At 36.5% G+C, this 19,874-nt stretch overlaps 1 protein-coding gene and 2 pseudogenes across 5 annotated transcripts in view; 2 read left to right on the top strand and 1 right to left on the bottom strand.

Annotated features, from left to right (window-relative positions):
• The window catches only part of MARCHF1 (membrane associated ring-CH-type finger 1), an 859,722-nt gene that overhangs the window by 182,935 nt on the left and 656,913 nt on the right, over positions 1 to 19,874 (top strand). The gene's annotated exons all lie outside the window — the stretch shown is intronic.
• Positions 3,264 to 4,245, top strand: ANP32CP (acidic nuclear phosphoprotein 32 family member C, pseudogene; annotated as a pseudogene).
• LOC100288073 (heat shock protein family A (Hsp70) member 5 pseudogene) lies at positions 10,452 to 12,852 on the bottom strand (annotated as a pseudogene).

Below are 19,874 nucleotides of genomic sequence, written 5' to 3'. Positions count from 1 at the left end.
GCTTTCAGCAACCTTGTTTCTTCCGCCATGCTTTTCCCTAGCTCACTCTTTTTAGGCAAGTCGACCTGATTTTCTTTCTGTTAGTCTGTTTCTGCCTCGTGGTCTGGCTTTCTTTCTGTTAGTCTGTTTCCACCTCGTGGTCTTGGTCCTGGCTCTTCATTCTGCCTGGAATGCTCTCCACTCCAGATCCTTACTAGATCTTAGCTCAGTCATCACCCTCGCAGGAAGATCTTCCAACCATTCACCTGCATACACCTATGGCTGCTCCCTAGAGAACATCATTCTGTTTTCTTCACTTCCTAGCACTTATTGCTTTCTGAAATTATCTACTTTGATTGTTTATTTCTTTCTTTACTCTTACTAGGATACCTGGGTCATTAAAGGAGGGATATTTCTCTCTTATTTACTGTTATAAACTTAATGCTTAGGCTGTAGAAGTTATACAATATTTGAAGAATAAATCGTTAAATGTATAACATTTTTGAAGAAAGATAATTGTGGGATCCATTTAGTTTGCAAACATTTGATCTGTGTGTTAGACAGAAGGCCATGGTAAAGGACAAAGACATATTTTATAGGACTGTACCCTGAAAAATAAATAAACTTGAACCAGTTATACAAGACTTATGTGCAGGAAACAGGTACCAGTTATATTTAGAAATGGTAAATCACCTTCTAAGCATAACTCAGAGCACAATATATTAGAGGGTAGAGAGAGAAGTGCGTCTTAGATATTGGTAATCATATTAGGACTGACGCCATCCTTGATTTTTCTTCTGGGAAACAGCTCAAAATGACTATTTAATGTTTACAATGATATCTTGCATCTTGCCAGTAAATAATATAATAGACACTAGGAATCCAAATTGTAAGATGAACAAGTCTTTATAGAGGGAGAGCCAAATACACAATAAATAACACAAGGTGGTAAATGCAGTAATACAAACATACATACCATGCATAGGAGTGCAGAGAAGGTGTGCTTCTCCGAATGCAGTCACCCAGAAAGTCCTTCTGTAGAAAGGGATATCTTAAATGGTGCTTAAAGGAAAAGTAACCAAAGGCAACTAAAGATTGCAAGGAGGTCCCAGGAAAAAGCAAAAGAACCAAAGGTACATAGGCACAAAAGTAGCCTGCCTTCCTGGGAACTTCCAATAGTTTGCTGGAGCACACAGTTAGAAGTACTGTGCCATGGGAGCAAAGACTGAAGACATATGCAGGTTCAAGGGCACAGAGCCCCATATATGTCATGATAAGATATTGGGAAGCCACTGGGGAGCTACTGAAACTTTAAGCAGGGAAATAAAATTGTCATATCTACACCTTAGAAATTTGATTTTTTTCTCTTCTTTTATCTTCTCTTCTCCTCTCTTCTCTCTCTCTCTCTCTCTCTCTCTCTCTCTGTGTGTGTGTGTGTGTGTGTGTGTGTGTGTGTGTGTGTGTGTGTGTGTGACAGAGTCCTGCTCTGTCACCCAGGCTGGAGTGTAGTGGAGTGATCTCCGCTTACTGCAGTCTCTGCCTCTCAAGCGATTCCCTGCCTCAGCCTCCCGAGTAGCTGGGATTACAGGCGGGCTCTACAACAGCTGGCTAACTTTTGTATTTTTTGGTAACAACCAGGTTTTACCATGTTGGCCAGGCTGGTCTTGAACTCCTGACCTCAGGTGATCTGCCTGCCTTGGCTTTCCAAAGTGCTGGGATTACAGGCGTGAGCCACCCTGCCTGGTGTAGAAGTTTGATTTTGATGTCAGTGTGGTAGATGAATTTGTGGGAAGCAAAACAAGATAGAGTTCAATGACAGTGAAAAGTTTATTGTATAAGCTATATAAAAGAAAATGTTGAAGGTTTGAAATCCATTAGTGGCAGTAAGGGTGTACAGAACGAAACTATTTGAGAAGTACACAAGGCAAGTCTTACTTTCAAGGCAGTTTATGTAAGCTCATTCAATTGTCTCAGTGTTCTTGCTATGTGTGGGTTATAGGATTTGGAACATGTGATCAATCTGAGCACACATCAGTAAACTGAATAGGATTATTAAAATCCACAAGCATTTTACTAGTGGAATCTGTGATATTTTCTAGCTACTCTTGCTTGTTTTATTTGAATCTTTTGCTCATATCCTATAGTAAAGATTTCAGGAAATATATTTTTATTTGCCTAGAATTTTAGCCTTTTAGTTTTTTGAATCTATTGCTCATATTCTTATAGTAAGAGTTTCAGGGAATGTATTTCTATTTGTCTGGAATTTTAGCCTTTCAGGTTTTTGAGCCCCTCTTTTGCTTATGGGACATAGTATGAGACAAGATGAAATGATACTTCTATTCCCAATTCACTGATGGGGAAAATGAAGCAAAAAATGTTATTCACTCAAGGCTTCTGCCATGTTTCCTGGTGGAATTACGGCTCAGACACAAATTTCCTAATGCCTGTGCTGCTAACTTCTCAATAGAACACTATATTAATTTATCTTCTTCCTGAGTGTTTTTCCACAAATCCCATAGCCTGTGAAAAGATTGTTTTAGGGAAATATTATTTTTAATATAGCATATTTTGTCAATGTGGGACATAGGACTAGTACCTGCTGAAAACCATCTCATGATCCTTGTGTAAGAACTAATTCACACTAGAAATACTATTTTCCTTGCTCATTAAAAACATAAATGTCTCAGAAAGTAAAAAATTATTCCTCTCTAAATAAACATACATGCCACTCAAATTTTATTCCTCTACCACTTGCCGTATCTAAACCTAGTTAGATACTTTGGTTTTAGGTATAATCTGACAGAACAGATACAACCAAGATCACATTGTGAGTCAGAAGTGGAAAATTCATAATTCATGATGATACCAATAAAAGATAGATTTAGCTTTTTACAGGATGTTTTTGGCATTTTATTCTTTCATTTGAGGGGAGATCTCACCAAAATATGTCTTTCATGGTTCATTGTGTTATTTAATTTCTGTGATGCATATTCTCAGGTTACTTTAAACCTAGTCTATAGATTCAAAGATATCCCGTGTCAGGTCTCTAAAAGTAAAAAGAAAAATGGGTACTTGTGAAGGCTGATTCACAGTAAGTAGTGTAGAGGGGAGTGCCTTGTGTATTCACAAATTATCAACGTGAGCATCAGATAAGATTTTCTTTAGTCACACACACCTACCTTCTTACTAGGAAGATCCATATACTTGAATAATTGTTCTGCTTGACCCAGGTTACTTATCAGTCCCTTTATTATAATATTTGTAAATATTGGGGCTCGAGAACCGAGCGGAGCTGGTTGAGTCTTCAAAGTCCTAAAACGTGCGGCCGTGGGTTCGAGGTTTATTGATTGAATTCGGCTGGCACGAGAGCCTCTGCAGACAGAGAGCGCGAGAGATGGAGATGGGCAGACGGATTCATTCAGAGCTGCGGAACAGGGCGCCCTCTGATGTGAAAGAACTTGCCCTGGACAACAGTCGGTCGAATGAAGGCAAACTCGAAGCCCTCACAGATGAATTTGAAGAACTGGAATTCTTAAGTAAAATCAACGGAGGCCTCACCTCAATCTCAGACTTACCAAAGTTAAAGTTGAGAAAGCTTGAACTAAGAGTCTCAGGGGGCCTGGAAGTATTGGCAGAAAAGTGTCCAAACCTCACGCATCTATATTTAAGTGGCAACAAAATTAAAGACCTCAGCACAATAGAGCCACTGAAACAGTTAGAAAACCTCAAGAGCTTAGACCTTTTCAATTGCGAGGTAACCAACCTGAACGACTACGGAGAAAACGTGTTCAAGCTTCTCCTGCAACTCACATATCTCGACAGCTGTTACTGGGACCACAAGGAGGCCCCTTACTCAGATATTGAGGACCACGTGGAGGGCCTGGATGACGAGGAGGAGGGTGAGCATGAGGAGGAGTATGATGAAGATGCTCAGGTAGTGGAAGATGAGGAGGGCGAGGAGGAGGAGGAGGAAGGTGAAGAGGAGGACGTGAGTGGAGGGGACGAGGAGGATGAAGAAGGTTATAACGATGGAGAGGTAGATGGCGAGGAAGATGAAGAAGAGCTTGGTGAAGAAGAAAGGGGTCAGAAGCGAAAATGAGAACCTGAAGATGAGGGAGAAGATGATGACTAAGTAGAATAACCTATTTTGAAAAATTCCTATTGTGATTTGACTGTTTTTACCCATATCCCCTCCCCCCTCCAATCCTGCCCCCTGAAACTTACTTTTTTCTGATTGTAACATTGCTGTGGGAATGAGACGGGAAAAGTGTACTGGGGGTTGTGGAGGGAGGGAGGGCAGGAGGCGGTGGACTAAAATACTATTTTTACTGCCAAATAAAATAATATTTGTAAATATTAACTGGGATACTAGCTTTGTAGAATGATTACTATTAATTATTCTCTCTCTCTTTTTATTTTTTTACACATTCTATTCTTTTAAGTATAGTCCTTTTAGTCCAAGGAAAAGGCACTACAATCCACTTATTAATGCTTGCTACTGTGTTCAAGTAAAATAAGCTCCAGGATTTAACAAAAAGAGGAAAGAAAATATTTACAATGAAAATGTTGCTAAAAATTTAAAACAAATTACAGTAAATGTATTGTTAAAGCAAATTCTATTTTTAAAATTTATTAATAAGGAAATAATTTGCTAAAGCAAATTTTTGGAAAAATAATAATGCACTTTATACTTGATTTTATTTATTAAAACAATGATTTATAAGCTTCAAATATCTCAGAATTTTATTTTAATAGCATGTTGCAAATTATTTAAATCATGCAAAATCATTGCAAAGAAATAATAAAGCATACCTGGGGACATTATGAATATAGTTATTTTAGCAAAAACAGTGTGGAAAATATATATTGTACCTTAGAGACTGTGCATCTATACATTTTTTATTTAAAAGCTGAGCAAAAATGCATTGAGACAAATAACTATCATTGTACATTGAAAGATACAACCAGCAACAAGTCAAATAACATGAATGAAACTAATAGTAACATAATTAAAAACTAATGAAGACTAGTAATTAAATGCTCTCATCAATAATACCTTTATCAGTCAAGGCATTCATGAATATAATGATTGCTGGAAAATTGCAGCATTTCAACTATATTTATGTTGATTTTTCTGCATTAATTTTTGTTTTTAGCATAGAATTGGAGACCTCAATAAATTCTAGTAATAAAGCAGTTATTAGTATCATTTTTTAAGTCCCAATAACTCACTTAACTAATATCATGTATAAAAATAAAAGCATATAGAATTTCAGTAAAGACTCAAAAAATGATTTATAATTTTAGATTAATTCAAAACCCAGTAAGAGTAAACTCTAAGGTGTCCAACAAGCTAGGGACCATATGTGAAGTGTCATTGGCTTATCTTTGTAGAACTTTATTGCTGGTCTGTATAATCTTCCTGGTCTGTTTTAGTTAGAAATTCCCTTATTTTATAGATCATGAAAGTGAGACTATCCGGGTTTAAATTCTAGATCCCAAGCACAAGTCAGGGAGTCATAGAGCTAGAATGAGGGCACAGATAGTAATCCAGGGTCCCTTCTAATGCACAACGTGAGAATAACTTTCTATTTTCATTTGTCTGAGAAATTGTGGGGATAAAAAAAGATCCTAGAGAACGTGAGGTATATATCTTACTTAGTTTGATTATATTTTACCCAATAGCTTTGTTTAAAATATTTATAATATCTGAATATCACATTTCCCATTAACGTAAAAAGTAAATTTTCTCTTTTTAATCCTTTTTTATAGTAGCATCAGAATTCTGAGATCTTACGTGTAAAATTGCATTTGGAAAAATATTTTCTTTTTGTTTATTTGGTAAACATATGAGTGCTGATTACAAGAAAAAAAACAATTTTCTAGGTCTTGTAGAGAGAATACAAAGATTTAGTAAAGAATAAATCATGACCTCAAAGAACTTAGAGCTAATGAGTGACTTTAAAAAAAAAATAAAAGACATGGATGATGCTGGAAACCATCATTCTCAGCAAACTAACACAAGGGCAGAAAACTAAACACATCACATGTTCTCACTCATGAGTGCGAGTTGAAAAATGAGAACATACGGATACAGGGCGGGGAACATCACACACTGGGGCCTGTCAGGGGGTGGGGGTCTAGGGGAGGGATAGCTAATGTAGGAGCTATTTCTCCTATTAGGAGAAATACCTAACGTAGATGACGGGTTGATGGGTGCAGCAAACCTCCATGGCACATATATATCTATGTAACAAACCTGCATGTTCTGTACATGCACCCCAGAACTTAAAGTATAAGAAAAATAATAATTTTACTTATTATTTAATTAGTATAACACAATTTACTTTAGAATTTCTGAAATATTAAAATTTTGAATGTCATTATTTGATATCAAATAGTTAAAACCATGCTTTTCTCCCTTTTGAAAATCCATTAAATGCGTCATAGAACTTGACCTTAACATTTGATATTAGTCAGTGCTATCCTGCTAAATTTTATTATAAGATGACAGCATACAATCAAGAGATGCAGGCTGTGAGTGTGAGAAGTTAATTAACTGCAAGATTTTGACAGACACCAGGTATTAAACACTAAAATGAAAATAGGTTTTTGAAAAAAAATTAACTATGTTTTATTTTATATTACGATGGTAGGAAATGTGAAATGGGATGTTTTCCATTAGCTGGATTTGTTCATCCATCATGATGGTTCTCACATTATGCTCCCAGTGAAGTCATCATGCCTTTCCCACCTGCAGTGCCCTTAATCTGTTTCTTAAAGTAATTTTAGAAATTAGAATACTGCTGTGGCTTTAAAGTTTAATACTTTGTTGGCGCTATAGGCAGAAAAAGCTAAAAGAAAAAAATCCACACAATTAAAATTAAAATTATGTTTCTTTTTCTCTTTTCACAGAAAAAAATGGAGCTTGTGTGTAATGTAGTCATGAGAACAAACATTTTAATCTATGATTCACTATAATGCAGTGGGAGTGTTATACCTTATTGTGTCTCTACCTCAGTTTCCTGATATTTTTATGTGGTGATGATTCTGGTTGACATTACCCACTTTTGAGAGAGAGAGTTCATTCTTCCTAATCTTGAACCATAGTCATCAAGACCTTTAAAATGAGTTTTAGACTAGAATGTGCTAAAAGCCCTAGAACATTAAAGCTGCTTACTAATAACTTCTAACCACAGAAATGAAATTTCTTAGGGTAAGTGAACAAAAGCCAGTTGCTTCTTAGAGACAGCTTGTTTATTACAAGAGTCTTTGGAAATTATCTGACAAACATTGGACTATTGGTCTGAAATTTACAGATCTTTGTGCATTCTTGTTGACAGATGCAGGGTGATTTTGGACAGCATTTGTTCATTTACCCACTCATTTTTTAAATGTTTCTTATGTCATAATAATTATTCTAGCACTGAAGATGAAATAATGAGCAGACTAGGAAACTGCCCTCATAGAACATCCATTGGATTGTCAATGCCCAGGCGGCCAGCAGCCACATTGACACATGAAATGTATTCCATTTACTCAATTGAACAAATCCAAGTGAAAGAGGCATTCTTACTGGAGGTCCTCATTATTCCAAAAGAAGATCTTTCCTGTTCTGTGTCATGAAGCCAATAGACAAAACCAAAAGTGAGAGTTAAGCAGTGCAGGCTTTATTCCAATGGCCGTGGAATTGGATAACTGGGAGCATAGCTCGCAAATCAACTTCTCGGCTCCTGAGAACTGGGAAGTTACAGATATAGGGTATCTTTAATGAAGGTATGGGGCATTAAGAACAAGCAGAAGAATAGTCATGCTTTTTCTTGGAAAGGGACGGAGATTTTCTTGGAATCAAGGAGAGTCCTCTTTTTTGTTCTTTTTTGGCATCTTCCGAAAAAGGTGATTCACGGTGATTGTCAAGTGTCATGGCACCAGTGGGAGTGTCATTTAGTGTGAAAATTGGATAATAATGAAGCTAGAGGTCCTTCAGAGGTCAAATAAGCTGCCTAAGAGGTAACCTCTGACCACAGACATCCTGTTTCCTAAAAATAAGCAGAGTTAGAGCTGAGTAAGAATTTAGCTATATCACACAGGTGTAGGCATTTGGCAACAAGAGCCGGGTAGGGATACAGATAAGTCACACAGGCACTGCAGTCGGTAACAGTGTCCTCCCTCTAACCATTTTCAGAAACTCAAATTGTGCCTAGAACTTTTCATAAGGAATGCTTCTTCCGAAAAGTGCCTAGCAGAAGACAAAGGTCATTGGCATAGCAGCTGCAAGTTCCTAGTATAGTGGTTTGAATAATTTCTTAAGGGGAAGAGGACTTTCTGGCATGCCTAACTTGAATGCACCTCTAAAAATTTTATAAATGTTTCATACTTTTAACTTTTATGATTTATTGTTTTGTTATCTTGTTTGGGGGAAGAAATCCAATATTACTACAGAAATAGCCCCAGGTGCTTCAAGAGTGACTGAAGTGTTTTTTAATTCCTTGTATATTCCAAAATTATAACTTGTAACTTGCCACTTGAAACATTTGGACAAGAGGAGCCCACTTTATTCTATAGTGTCCAAAAAGTCTCAGTTAATACTTGTTGAATGATGGAAACAAGAAGGTCAGAGATCACTAACTTTTTACTTTGCTGGTATTGGCTGCCTGAATGATTGACTCTCTTATGAGGGCTCATGATAGAAGAGTTTGCATCATAATGTTTACTTTGAAGCTGAGCATAATTAATCAGTTTGTGGCTTTAAAAACTAAATTCTCCTAAACTTATATAAGTAAATAGTAAATCCTAAGGTGAAAGTAAAGCAATGATGTATGAATTTAAAAGAATATTGTTTTAAAATATAATCAACAAATTCCTGGTTACAGACACTATGAACTTTTAGAGTAAACTATGAATAAATATAATCGTATACTTAGCTATTTACAAATTAAGATAATCTTTATAGAAATTCTGTTCTGTTTTTAGTAATAATTATGCTCTTAATTCTTGGGAATGCACTGCAATGTCAGTTTTCTACCTAATATTTACTTAGTGAGGTACAATCGTTCTTGAGATTATTCTTGTCGTTGGTTTGTTTTATGTAGGCTTATTAAATTTTAAGTTGTCATATTTTACCATTGGTCGTGTTCTAGTACTAGTTTCCCCAGATAAACTAATGTCCCAAAAGCAATTCCTGAGTCATAATTACAATGATAAGAATAGAAACACAATGTTACAACACATATGATATACTAAATATTTATCATGAATAGGATTTGAGTAAAAATATAGGATGTGAATATGTATCTGTCAGCAAGTGTGATTGTAGAGATTTCAAAGAAATCCATTTAAAAATGGGACAAGTAAGAAGTATGACTCTCAGAAAACTAGACTATATTGGATTCCAACAATCCATTTGCCTCGAGTTTTTAACATATTACTTATAAAACTTTGCCAAATTGTGATTTTTCAGAACAAGTGCAAAATTACATTTCCCTGTACAAACTTGATTAACGCCATAATTGTTTGTAGAGAAGACACACAACTTTAGAGCCATCATTCAAACTTGCATTCCTCAAAGCAAAAAGAAGAATAAATGATACTATTTCCAAAAAATTTGTAGAGACAATTGCAAAGATAATTACAAATATTATACTCAGAGAGAAAACAAAATGAGTTATTGGCAACATTTCTTTGTTAAATAACAATGCGTGATGACACACTAAATTAATGACATATTCTGTAAAAGCAATTACTTTCTAATATGTATTCTAACAGATACTGTATTTTATAGCTGTAGTAATCAATTAATATGCAGAGTATGAATTTGCTCTTGGCATTTGTGCAAACACAGCATAAGGGAGGTATGCAATGGTGATTCAACTTCAGCTATATGAGGATTAAGAAAGAACATGCTTACTTTAATTAATAAAGAATTTTGCATCGACGTTCAATCCATACTCCGAATCTTGTTTACATTGCATGTTGAAGAAAATGGTGAAAATTATTATTATGATCCAATCACTGTCAGACAATGACATTCTTTTCAGTATGCAAAGAGATTTGCACAATTCTGTGGATCTATCCTGAGGTCAGCTGACCATTGAGGGAAAGATAATTTCCCGAGTGTTTGCAATGAAACAAACACACAACAATAACAACAGAGAAACAACAATAAAAACAATTGCTTCTTGATACTAAAAGTACAAAAAGGGGTACCATGATTTCAAGAGACATGCCCAGGTGGCTAGCTCAGTAATGTGTCCTCTGCCCTAAAAAGTCTGAACCTGTTGCTTCAAGACTGAAGGAGAAAGACTTCCTATCATGCAAATATAAAAGGATTTCATATGAAGATGAAACTCAACAGTCAAAAGTTGGACATTCTCAGATAGTCTCTCTAAAAATTTTTCCTTTGGGAAAGTATTCTTTTTAGACCAGTGCAAATAACTAACATTTATTGGCATCACTTATGGCAGAAAAAACTTCCTACACCAGATGAACATGACCCAGTTGTTAAATAGAACATTTTGAAGGTGAACACACACCCTAACCCAGGTTTTTTACCCACTTTTTAAGATGGCCAATTCTTCTGCCCCCTACCTGAAGACATGTGAGCAACTGCTAATGAAAAGCCGTAAACAGCCACTTGGGCTATAGCATTTTCAACTCCACTCTGAGGTGACAATTCCAATTACATTTAAGACTTGACTTCTCTCATTTTTTTTCTAAGGAAAGTTCCTGAGTCCAGTATTTACAATATTACAGCAGTAGCAGATCTGTGTCTACAACTCATCTTTTTCTGCCGTATCCTCTTCGTGGCTGGGAGAGGGCTTGCACTTCCATAGAGTTTGCTGATAAGTGGCTGAACAATTTCTTCCAGTTCCTTCTTGTTAGCTTCGAAGTCTTCAATGTCAGCAGCTTGGTGGCTTTCCAGCCATTCAATCTTTTCTTCTACAGCTTTTTCCATGGTCTCCTTATCTTCAGAGGAAAGTTTACCTCCCAGCTTTTCTTTATCTCCAATCTGATTCTTTAGAGAATAGCCATAGCTTTCCAGCTCATTTGTAGTATCAATGCACTCCTTGAGCTTTGTGTCTTCCTCAGCAAACTTCTCAGCATCATTAACCATCCTTTTGATTTCTTCAGGTGTCAGGTGATTCTGGTCATTGGTAATTGTGATCTTATTTTTGTTCCCTGTACCCTTGTCTTCAGCTGTCACTCGAAGAATACCATTCACATCTATCTCAAAGGTGACTTCAATCTGTGGGACCCCACGAGGAGCAGGAGGAATTCCAGTCAGATCAAATGTACCCAGAAGATGAATGTCTTTTGTCAGGGGTCATTCATCCTCATAGACCTTGATTATGACAGTTGGTTGATTATCAGAAGCTATAGAAAAGATATGGACTTCTTGGTAGGTACCACTGTGTTCCTTGGAATCAGTTTGATCATGACACCTCCCACAGTTTCAATACCAAATGTAAGGGGACATACATCAAGCACTACCAGGTCACCTGTATCTTGATCACCAGAGAGCACTCCAGCCTGGACAGCAGCACCATGCACTACAGCTTCATCTGGGTTTATGCCATGGGAGGACTCCTTGCCATTGAAGGACTTTTTAACCAGTTGCTGAATCTTTGGAATTCGAGTAGAGCCACCAAGAACAACATCATCAATATCAGAATTCTTCAAATCAGAATTTTCCAACACTTTCTGGACAGGCCTCATAGTAGACCAGAACAGATCCATGTTTAGCTCTTAAAATTTGGCCTGAGTCAGGGTCTCAGAAAAGTCTTCTCCTTCATAGAAGGACTCAATTTCAATTCTTGCTTGATGTTGAGGAGACAGGGCCCATCTGGCCTTTTCTACCTCTAGCTGGAGTTTCTGCACAGCCCTATCGTCTTTCCTGACATCTTTGTCAGTCTTCTTTTTGTACAACTTGATGAAATGTTCCATGACACGCTAGTCATAGTCTTCTGCACGCAGATGAGTATCTCCATTAGTGGCCACGACTCCGAAGACACCATTGTCAATGGTGAGAGGAGACGCATTGAAGGTTCTGCCACCCAGGTGGAACAACAGGATGTCTTCTCCCCCTCCCTCTTATCCAGGCCATAACCAATAGCAGCTGCCATAGGCTCGTTAATGATCCTCATAACATTTAGCTCAGCAATAGTTCCAATATCTTTGGTTGCTTCGCATTGGGCATCATTGAAATAGGCTGGTAAGGTAAAAACTGCATGGGTAAACTTCTTTCTCAAATAAGCCTCAGCGGTTTATTGCATTTTAGTGAGAACCATGGCAGAAATTTCTTCAGGAGCAAATGTCTTTGTTTGCCCACCTCCAATATCAACTTGAACGTATGGTTTAGTTTTCTTTTCAACTACCTTGAACCGCAAGAACTTGATGTCCTGCTGCATAGACAGGTCGTTCCACGTGCGGCCGATGAGCCACTTGGCGTCAAAGACCGTGTTCTTGGGATTGGAGGTGAGCTGGTTCGTGGCGGCATCGCCGATCAGATATTCCCCTTCAAGAGTGAAGGGCACATAGGACCGCGTGATGCGTTTGCTCTGATTGTTGGCGGTGATCTCCACGCAGCCGGTCTTGAACACACAGACGCAGCAGTAGGTGGTCCCCAGGTCGACGCAGACCACCGTGCCCACGTCCTCCTCCTTGTCCTCGAACCACGCCTCACCGAGTAGCAGCAGCATCGCCGCCACCAGGGAGAGCTTCATCTTGCCAGCCAGTCGGGCAGCAGAGGCAGGGCGTCGCAGGCAATGAAGCCACCGGCCGCAGCACAGGAGCGCAGCGCGGTTACCCGCCTCTCACAATTGCGAAACACCCCAGTCGGTCGGTCGGTCTGTCTGTGCTGTCTCGGCCGGCATCGAGAAAGTATTTGTGTATATATACTTGATCGTATGTAAAAAACACAACCAAACGTGGCAAAAGCAGAGAGAAATAATTTCTGGGACTGTAGGCATTCAAAAATCAGATGTGGATTCTCTATGTCGCCCTCGGCTTTCGAGTTTTAATTGCCCTGCTCGCTGACTTGGCATTTGAAGGAGTGCTAGAAATGGCCCTTAATGGAAAATTATAAGAAAACACTCAGAATTTCTGAGCCCATGTTCAATCTGAGTATTCTGAAGGGCTTCACAGTGTTAGAAATAATTGCCATTTACAATAATTTATAGGTTTACTAGATTTTCCAATTTGAGATTTAAAGAGTCAAAAAAAGATGGGGAAAGTGACATGCAAAACAAGCTGTCTGCCATCAAGGCTGAATAGACCTATGTTGATGAAAATAGTTATAAATAATATAATTCCTATCATTACATGAAACAATTGTGACTAGTCACTTTTAAAGGCTATGCTTTATTTTTATTACTAAAAACGTTGTATTGATTTCTCTTTATTTACCTACAACTGGGATCCGTGTTGTCAAGTGCTCAAGCAGAACCTAAGCAGCAGCAAATATTGCAGCTGCCAGTTGCCCTTGCCAGGCTTCCATAGATTCAGTCAGTGAGGAGACAACACACCCGAATGATGTAGCTGTTTATTACTCACAGCACAGCAGACAGCATGAGCTTCAAGTTCACATCAAATCCCCATCCCCCCAGGTCCTATGGGGGCGATGTGGAGGAAGCCTGGGTAGATACTATACACATGGCGGGTCTGTGCCACAACTGAGGAGCGTTGGAAATCCAGACTTATAAGGGGACTTCAAGCAAACCTGCTCATCCTCCACTTTAGAGAAAGACATTATTCATATTTTCTTGGTCAGGAAACCAATCTGCCTCTGATCCAGAGGGAGACCCTTTCTCTATCACCCTGGAACATCTCCAGGAGGGGGGCAGACCTAGTTTTATGACCCTGGTGCATAAGCAAATCTACTCCCTGTCCCCACAACAGCTTTGTAGATTTCCTCGAACAAAGCTGTCAATGCCTTTTTCTTAGAGGATGAGCAGAAATACCAAATTCTTGGAGACTATCTCCCTAACACACAAGTGCACCCGGTGCCCATAAAAGGTGTGCAGATGTTGAGGGTTGAGCAAGATCAGAAGATTATGTGCATTTCATGCAAAAAAAAAAAAAGATTGCTTCAGCCATAGTTGAAGGCAATTGATACCATCTCAAGTCATATTGCTTTTAATAGTAATAATACTTATAAATAATTGATTCACAAACATGGAAACTACTTTCGACACCTTAGACATCCTTGCTCTAACCTAGAGTCTTTGGTTACATTCCTCTCTAATTTTGGGATTTAGTCACACACCTTCAATGCCCTGTCCACAGGTAGCGTACTTAAGAATAACCATTATATTACAAAGAACCTGATAATATCTAGCTAATTAAATGGTAGGAGATAAGAATGAACTCTTCAGAGGTCTTTAGCTCAAAACTTAGAGTTCTTAAATAGCTCAACATTGCCCTGAGGCTTTTATTCATGTGAGCTTCTGTCACTAAGAAAGTACAGAAAGACAGATCTGAGCAAAATCTGAGTTTTTAACTGGGAGTGGGAGAGCTTTTCCTCTTCACCTCAGATCATACTGTTTCTGCTTTTAAGAATGGAACAGTAGGGTCAGATAACACAAAAGTCACCCTTCCAAATAGAAGCCAAAAAGATTGCACTGGCTCATAGAGTGCATTGCTGCTTGAATAAAAGTAAGTAGTAGAAAGTTGGAAGTGAGCAGTGTATTGGTTCTCAATTTTTTACAAAATAGAATCACATAGAGCATGGCTAAATGATATCAATTCTTTGAGGATGACAGGTTTTTTAAAAAAGAGAGCCATTCACCAAAGTAATGATTAGTTGACACAATTTTTCTACCCTCAAGGAGATCCTGAATTTAACACGTTATTCACGTTGGTGATTATGGGGCTTCAGGATTACTGCATTTTCAACGATTATTAAAACCAGAAATTGGCTGGGCACAGTGGCTCATGTCTGTAATTCCAGCACTTTGGGAGGCTGAGGCGGGCAGATCATCTGATGTCAGAAGTTCGAGACCAGCCTGGCCAACATGGCAAAACCCCGTCTCTACTAAAAATACAAAAATTAGCTGGTTGTGGTGGCAGGCGCCTGTAGTCCCTGCTACTCTGGAGGCTGAGGCAGGAGAATCACTTGAACCCAGAGGCAGAGATTGCAGTGAGCCGAGGTCACGCCACTGCACTCCAGCCTGGGTAACAAGAGCGAGATTCCATCTCAAAACCAAACCAGAAATTGGCATTTGTCTTATTAAACCCTCAATAAAATCATAGACTCTTGCTAAGAACTTTAAATATTGTCTTGAAATGTTTTTTTTTTTGTGTGTGTGTGTGTGTGTGTGACTAGTTTTAATATCTTCTACAATTTAGAAGCAATTTTAGTGTTTACTTTTTCTGAAAATAAGTAATTTATTTTGTATAGATCATATAGGTATCTTCTTATCTCAATGGGAAAAAAAGTCTACTTTCAAACTCTCCAGAGTTTGTAGCAAATATTTGAGTTAATAGCTCTTCCTTTAGATAAGTGAGCCTCAGATGTCATGAAAACAAACATGAAATTTAATCGTAGAAATATATTGCTCTTCAACAATCCTTATGTCTCTCAGTACTTAATGTTGTCTGGCAGTATATATTACTTTATAATAAAACCTGTTTTGCTAGTATATGGTAACATATTAGATAAAACTTATTTGACATGTGCAGGACTCAAGACTGGTTAAGTGTGGAAAGAAATTTTCCAAATGAAGTTATTGGATATAGTGATGGCAATATTTTTGTCTTTTAAATAAAAGACAAATTCAATCAAAAATAACCATTCACTCAGATGCCTTATGTGTGTTACAATGTTTATCTGAAAATATTAGTATTAGAGTCTTAGCTAAAACTAATGTAGTATGCTAATGCAACATACAGCAAATACAAACACAAATCACCATCAGAGTTGAGGTTTACTGATATTTTTGCCCATTCCCAACACACATCCTGGGCATCAAAATATAATTCTTAAAGAATTTTGTGAGGAAAATAAAATGAGTTTGTCTAGAATGACATATTTATATTGTTAATGCACATTTTTAAAATTTTGTTTTGATTTTTAAATCCTTATGTCTCATTAAAATTGTGATAAGATACAAACAATATGAAATTTACCATCTTAATCATTTTTAATTTTATAGTTCAGTGACATTAAGTACATTCACTTAGTTGTGCCACTGTCACTACCAGCCATCCAAAGAGCTCTTTTTATTTTGCTGTACCAATATTTTTAGACAACATACTCTATGTAGGTTTGGGTATTAGGATCCATTTATAATCACTCAGAATCTTGGAATTACATTTAGGCATTATGGCTAGCTGAGACTACAAGGACAGGTCTGATGAGGCTTGGGCCTTTCCTGTGTATCTCAAATGGTCAGGTCAACATTGGGAGTTGATCATTACTTGACGGGCCATACCACCAAGGGAATTCATGTTTGATTATGTTATTGTTTAAGCATATTATTCTGTATGAGTCTTTATCAACTAATTTCTATGGAGGTTTGTTTTCTATCAATAGGTTAGGCAGACTTCTTGCTACTATTTAACTGGTATAACCCTTTTTATTTCAGACACAATCCACGTCCATCAGTGCAGAGTGTATCCTTTTGTGTTTTGTGTATGTAACAATGGACATGTAACTCTTTTGGTAGAAAGAATTACTTTCTCTTCAATGTGGAAGCTAAAAGTGGATAACTATTCACCAAATAGGTGATATGGAAAGATTGAAAAAGAGGTATGTGGCAAAAGCATATAGATAATATTTGAGGGAGATACTGTTTTCTCAGTTTATTTCAAATCAAATCTTGCAAATTTGTACCTATAATCAATGGGGTGAGTGAAGGGATAGAAACTGTAAATGGAAAACTGAAGAATTATATCGGGAAAAAGTTGTAAAATCTCATATTGTGGTGTTGAGCAAACCAGCTTTACACTTTATGAGTTTCTGCCACTGTTGTATCGAGCAATACCTATATCTGAACCTCAGGGTTTTTAAAAAATTTCTTATGTTTTCCCATTATTGCCTCCCTCCCACCAAGGAATTATAGATTTCATACAAGACTTTGAAGATTGTACTCCAAGAGGCTGGAATGTTCTAAAGCGAACCTCTTCCTGGAGCACTTTCATTCTTCTTGCCTCTTTCCTCTGCTTCCTCCTTCAGTGGACTAAGGACCAGTAGTTTTCTTTCCTACCTCTTCCTAAATGTCACTTTCCCATGATGATTATTTTCTTTTCTTCTCTCCTAGACTTGATTAAATGTCCCTGTTATATGCTCCCATACAATCCTGACCTTTATGTCTCATGAATTCCATTGCACTTTATTTGAATCCGGGTTATGGTTGGCTTCTTCCTCTGCTGTATTTTACATTCCATGATGGTGGTTACCTGCTTATCTTGTCAATGCTGCATCACCCAGCACTATGTGTGGTATATGGCATCAGCCTGGAATAATTTTGGCTCCAAAAGTTAAAAATGTACATTTAAACAAAGCAACAAAACTTCTGGAAGAAAACGTAGGGTATTTATTTATAACCACAGAGTGAGAAGGCTTTTCTGGAATTCAAAATTAAGAAAATTGAAAGAAAAGATTGATGCTTTTGACCACATAAAAATTAGAAGCTTTTACATAGCAACAGATCTCACAAAGTCAAAAGGTAAATGAAAAAATGGGGAAAAGATTTTCTACTCTTATCACAAACAAAAGATTATAAAGAAATAGACCAAATACTCAGTGGATCAAAAAGTAAAGATTTGAACAGATAATTCTCAAATACCACTTTTTATGCATTACATTGGGAAAGTTAAAAGATAAATCATACATTCATTTGGCAATAATAAGTATGATTATGTAGAGTGAATTGAATTAGATTGGGTAGATGGGAATAGAGATTTGAGGTGAGTTTTTAATGTGTATTGCTTTTTAACATTTTACTTTTTGAATCCTGAAGTCATATAACCTGTTAAAATTTAGTGATCAAACAATTAGAGAATGGAAAAAGTTAACAGTTGTAAAAATATAAAATAAGAGGAAAGTATAAGAACTAGAACTTTTTAATATTAGGCTGAGGGAAGTTAAGGCTAAATTGGTAATAGTCTTTAAGTTTAAATGCTTCAGCTTAAAAATAAGGGATTTACACTTTGATCTCTTGGTCACTTCAAATTCTGAGACTCTATCATTTGACATGAATGGTTTTTCTTTAAAATAAGAAGTCTTATGTCTAGATATTTTATATCTCCATTAAGTATAGCACAAAAATGTGAACTTAAATTTTCAGAGGAAAAATATGAGGTTGGAAAAGTATAAAGAATATCAAATTACTAATTTCTAATAACAGGAGTCTTGCATATATTGAGCATCACTGTGTAGCTGACTTGGGAAGCTTCTTCTTTTTTTAATTTAGAATCATTTATTTAATTTAAAATATATGATTGTAAAATCTGTGTAACAGTATTGTAACTGGTTTTTCTTGCACATACATCAGACGCTTTTATAAATGTACATGTAAACACTAACAATGTGTATATATTATATGTTATGGATACATGTATAGAAGGAAGGAAGGATGGAAGGAAGGAAGGAAGGAGAGAGATGATATTCTTTGAGAAAAATGAACTTATATTTCTTTGCAAGTTGCTTTTTTTACTTACTAATATGCCTTGTTTTCTCTGATACCTATATACCTACCTTAGAAAATGCATTCTGTACAATTCTTGCTTTTTGACCTTAACAAGGTCAATTTTGTTTTTGAAAATATTTTATAGAAATATTTAAAAATTGCTATATATTTATTAGTCAAGTTTAGTGATTATATTTTTAAATCTTTTCTAAATTATTCTATCTTTATTCACTGTATTGACCTATGTCAGGCTCCGATTACACTATGTGGTCTAGAGAAGAGCACAGAGATCTAGAGGGAGCCACATTATGTCTACATATTAATGTCTTTAGGAAAAACCTATTAGTGTTTCATAGCTTTTAATTATTTGTCAATGTAATGTTTATCTGTGAATTTCATTCATTAGTTTATGTTAATGAATTTCAGAGAAAAAGAAGAGAAAAAATTACCTTTTACCTGAAGTTCTAATTGTACAGCATGAATTGTCTATTATAGGTTGTATGCATGATTGAGTCCCAAGAGAAAAAGCTGACACTGGCAAATGATTTAATTTTGTCTATATTCAGAGAATTTATAATGTGATACTAAAAATAGAATTTCAAGAACCTGTGGCATAGTCCTTAGCTAAAATACATTAACTTGAAACCAAATTTAAAAATAACAGTAGTTCATGGACTGTGTTGCCACAATATAAAAAGAAGATCATAAATCTAAGGAAGAATAATTTTATTTATAGAAAATCTTTGAGCTAGGACTATATTGTCAAGTTCTAAGCAGCGCTTATCACATCTATTTCATCGTACTAAAAATATAATCACCTTCCCGAAGAAGCATCATAATTTAGCACTGCTCATTATAGAAAAGTTATCAAAAAACTGTCATGGAAATAAATAACTTGGAATGGTACTATTTCAGGGGGTTTTATTTTGTAAGATTTTAGAATTTTATTAGAATGCCACTTTTGTGTCTTCAAATTGAAGTCTTTTCTTTGTCTATTCCCTAGCGTGAAATTAGTTGTAGTTCTTGAACATAGTTAATATAACTTATTATGCCTTAGTGTGTGCTAAAAATTAGACATACATAGTGTACAAATATAATGCGCTTGTGTGTGTATACATATATATGATTGTGTGTGTCTTGTGTATATGATACAAAAAGATACACAAGACCATGAAAGCCTTAAAAAGAAAATTTTTACCTAATTTGGGAGCTAACATTGAAGGGAGAGTGGGAGTTAATTAGTCAAAGGAGGCCAATGTATTTAGG

This window comes from Homo sapiens, chromosome 4 (genome assembly GCF_000001405.40).
Source record: "Homo sapiens chromosome 4, GRCh38.p14 Primary Assembly".
Taxonomy (NCBI): Eukaryota; Metazoa; Chordata; class Mammalia; order Primates; family Hominidae; genus Homo; species Homo sapiens.
The sequence above is the reverse complement of the archived record's forward strand: the minus strand, read 5'-3'. Positions and strand labels throughout refer to the sequence as shown.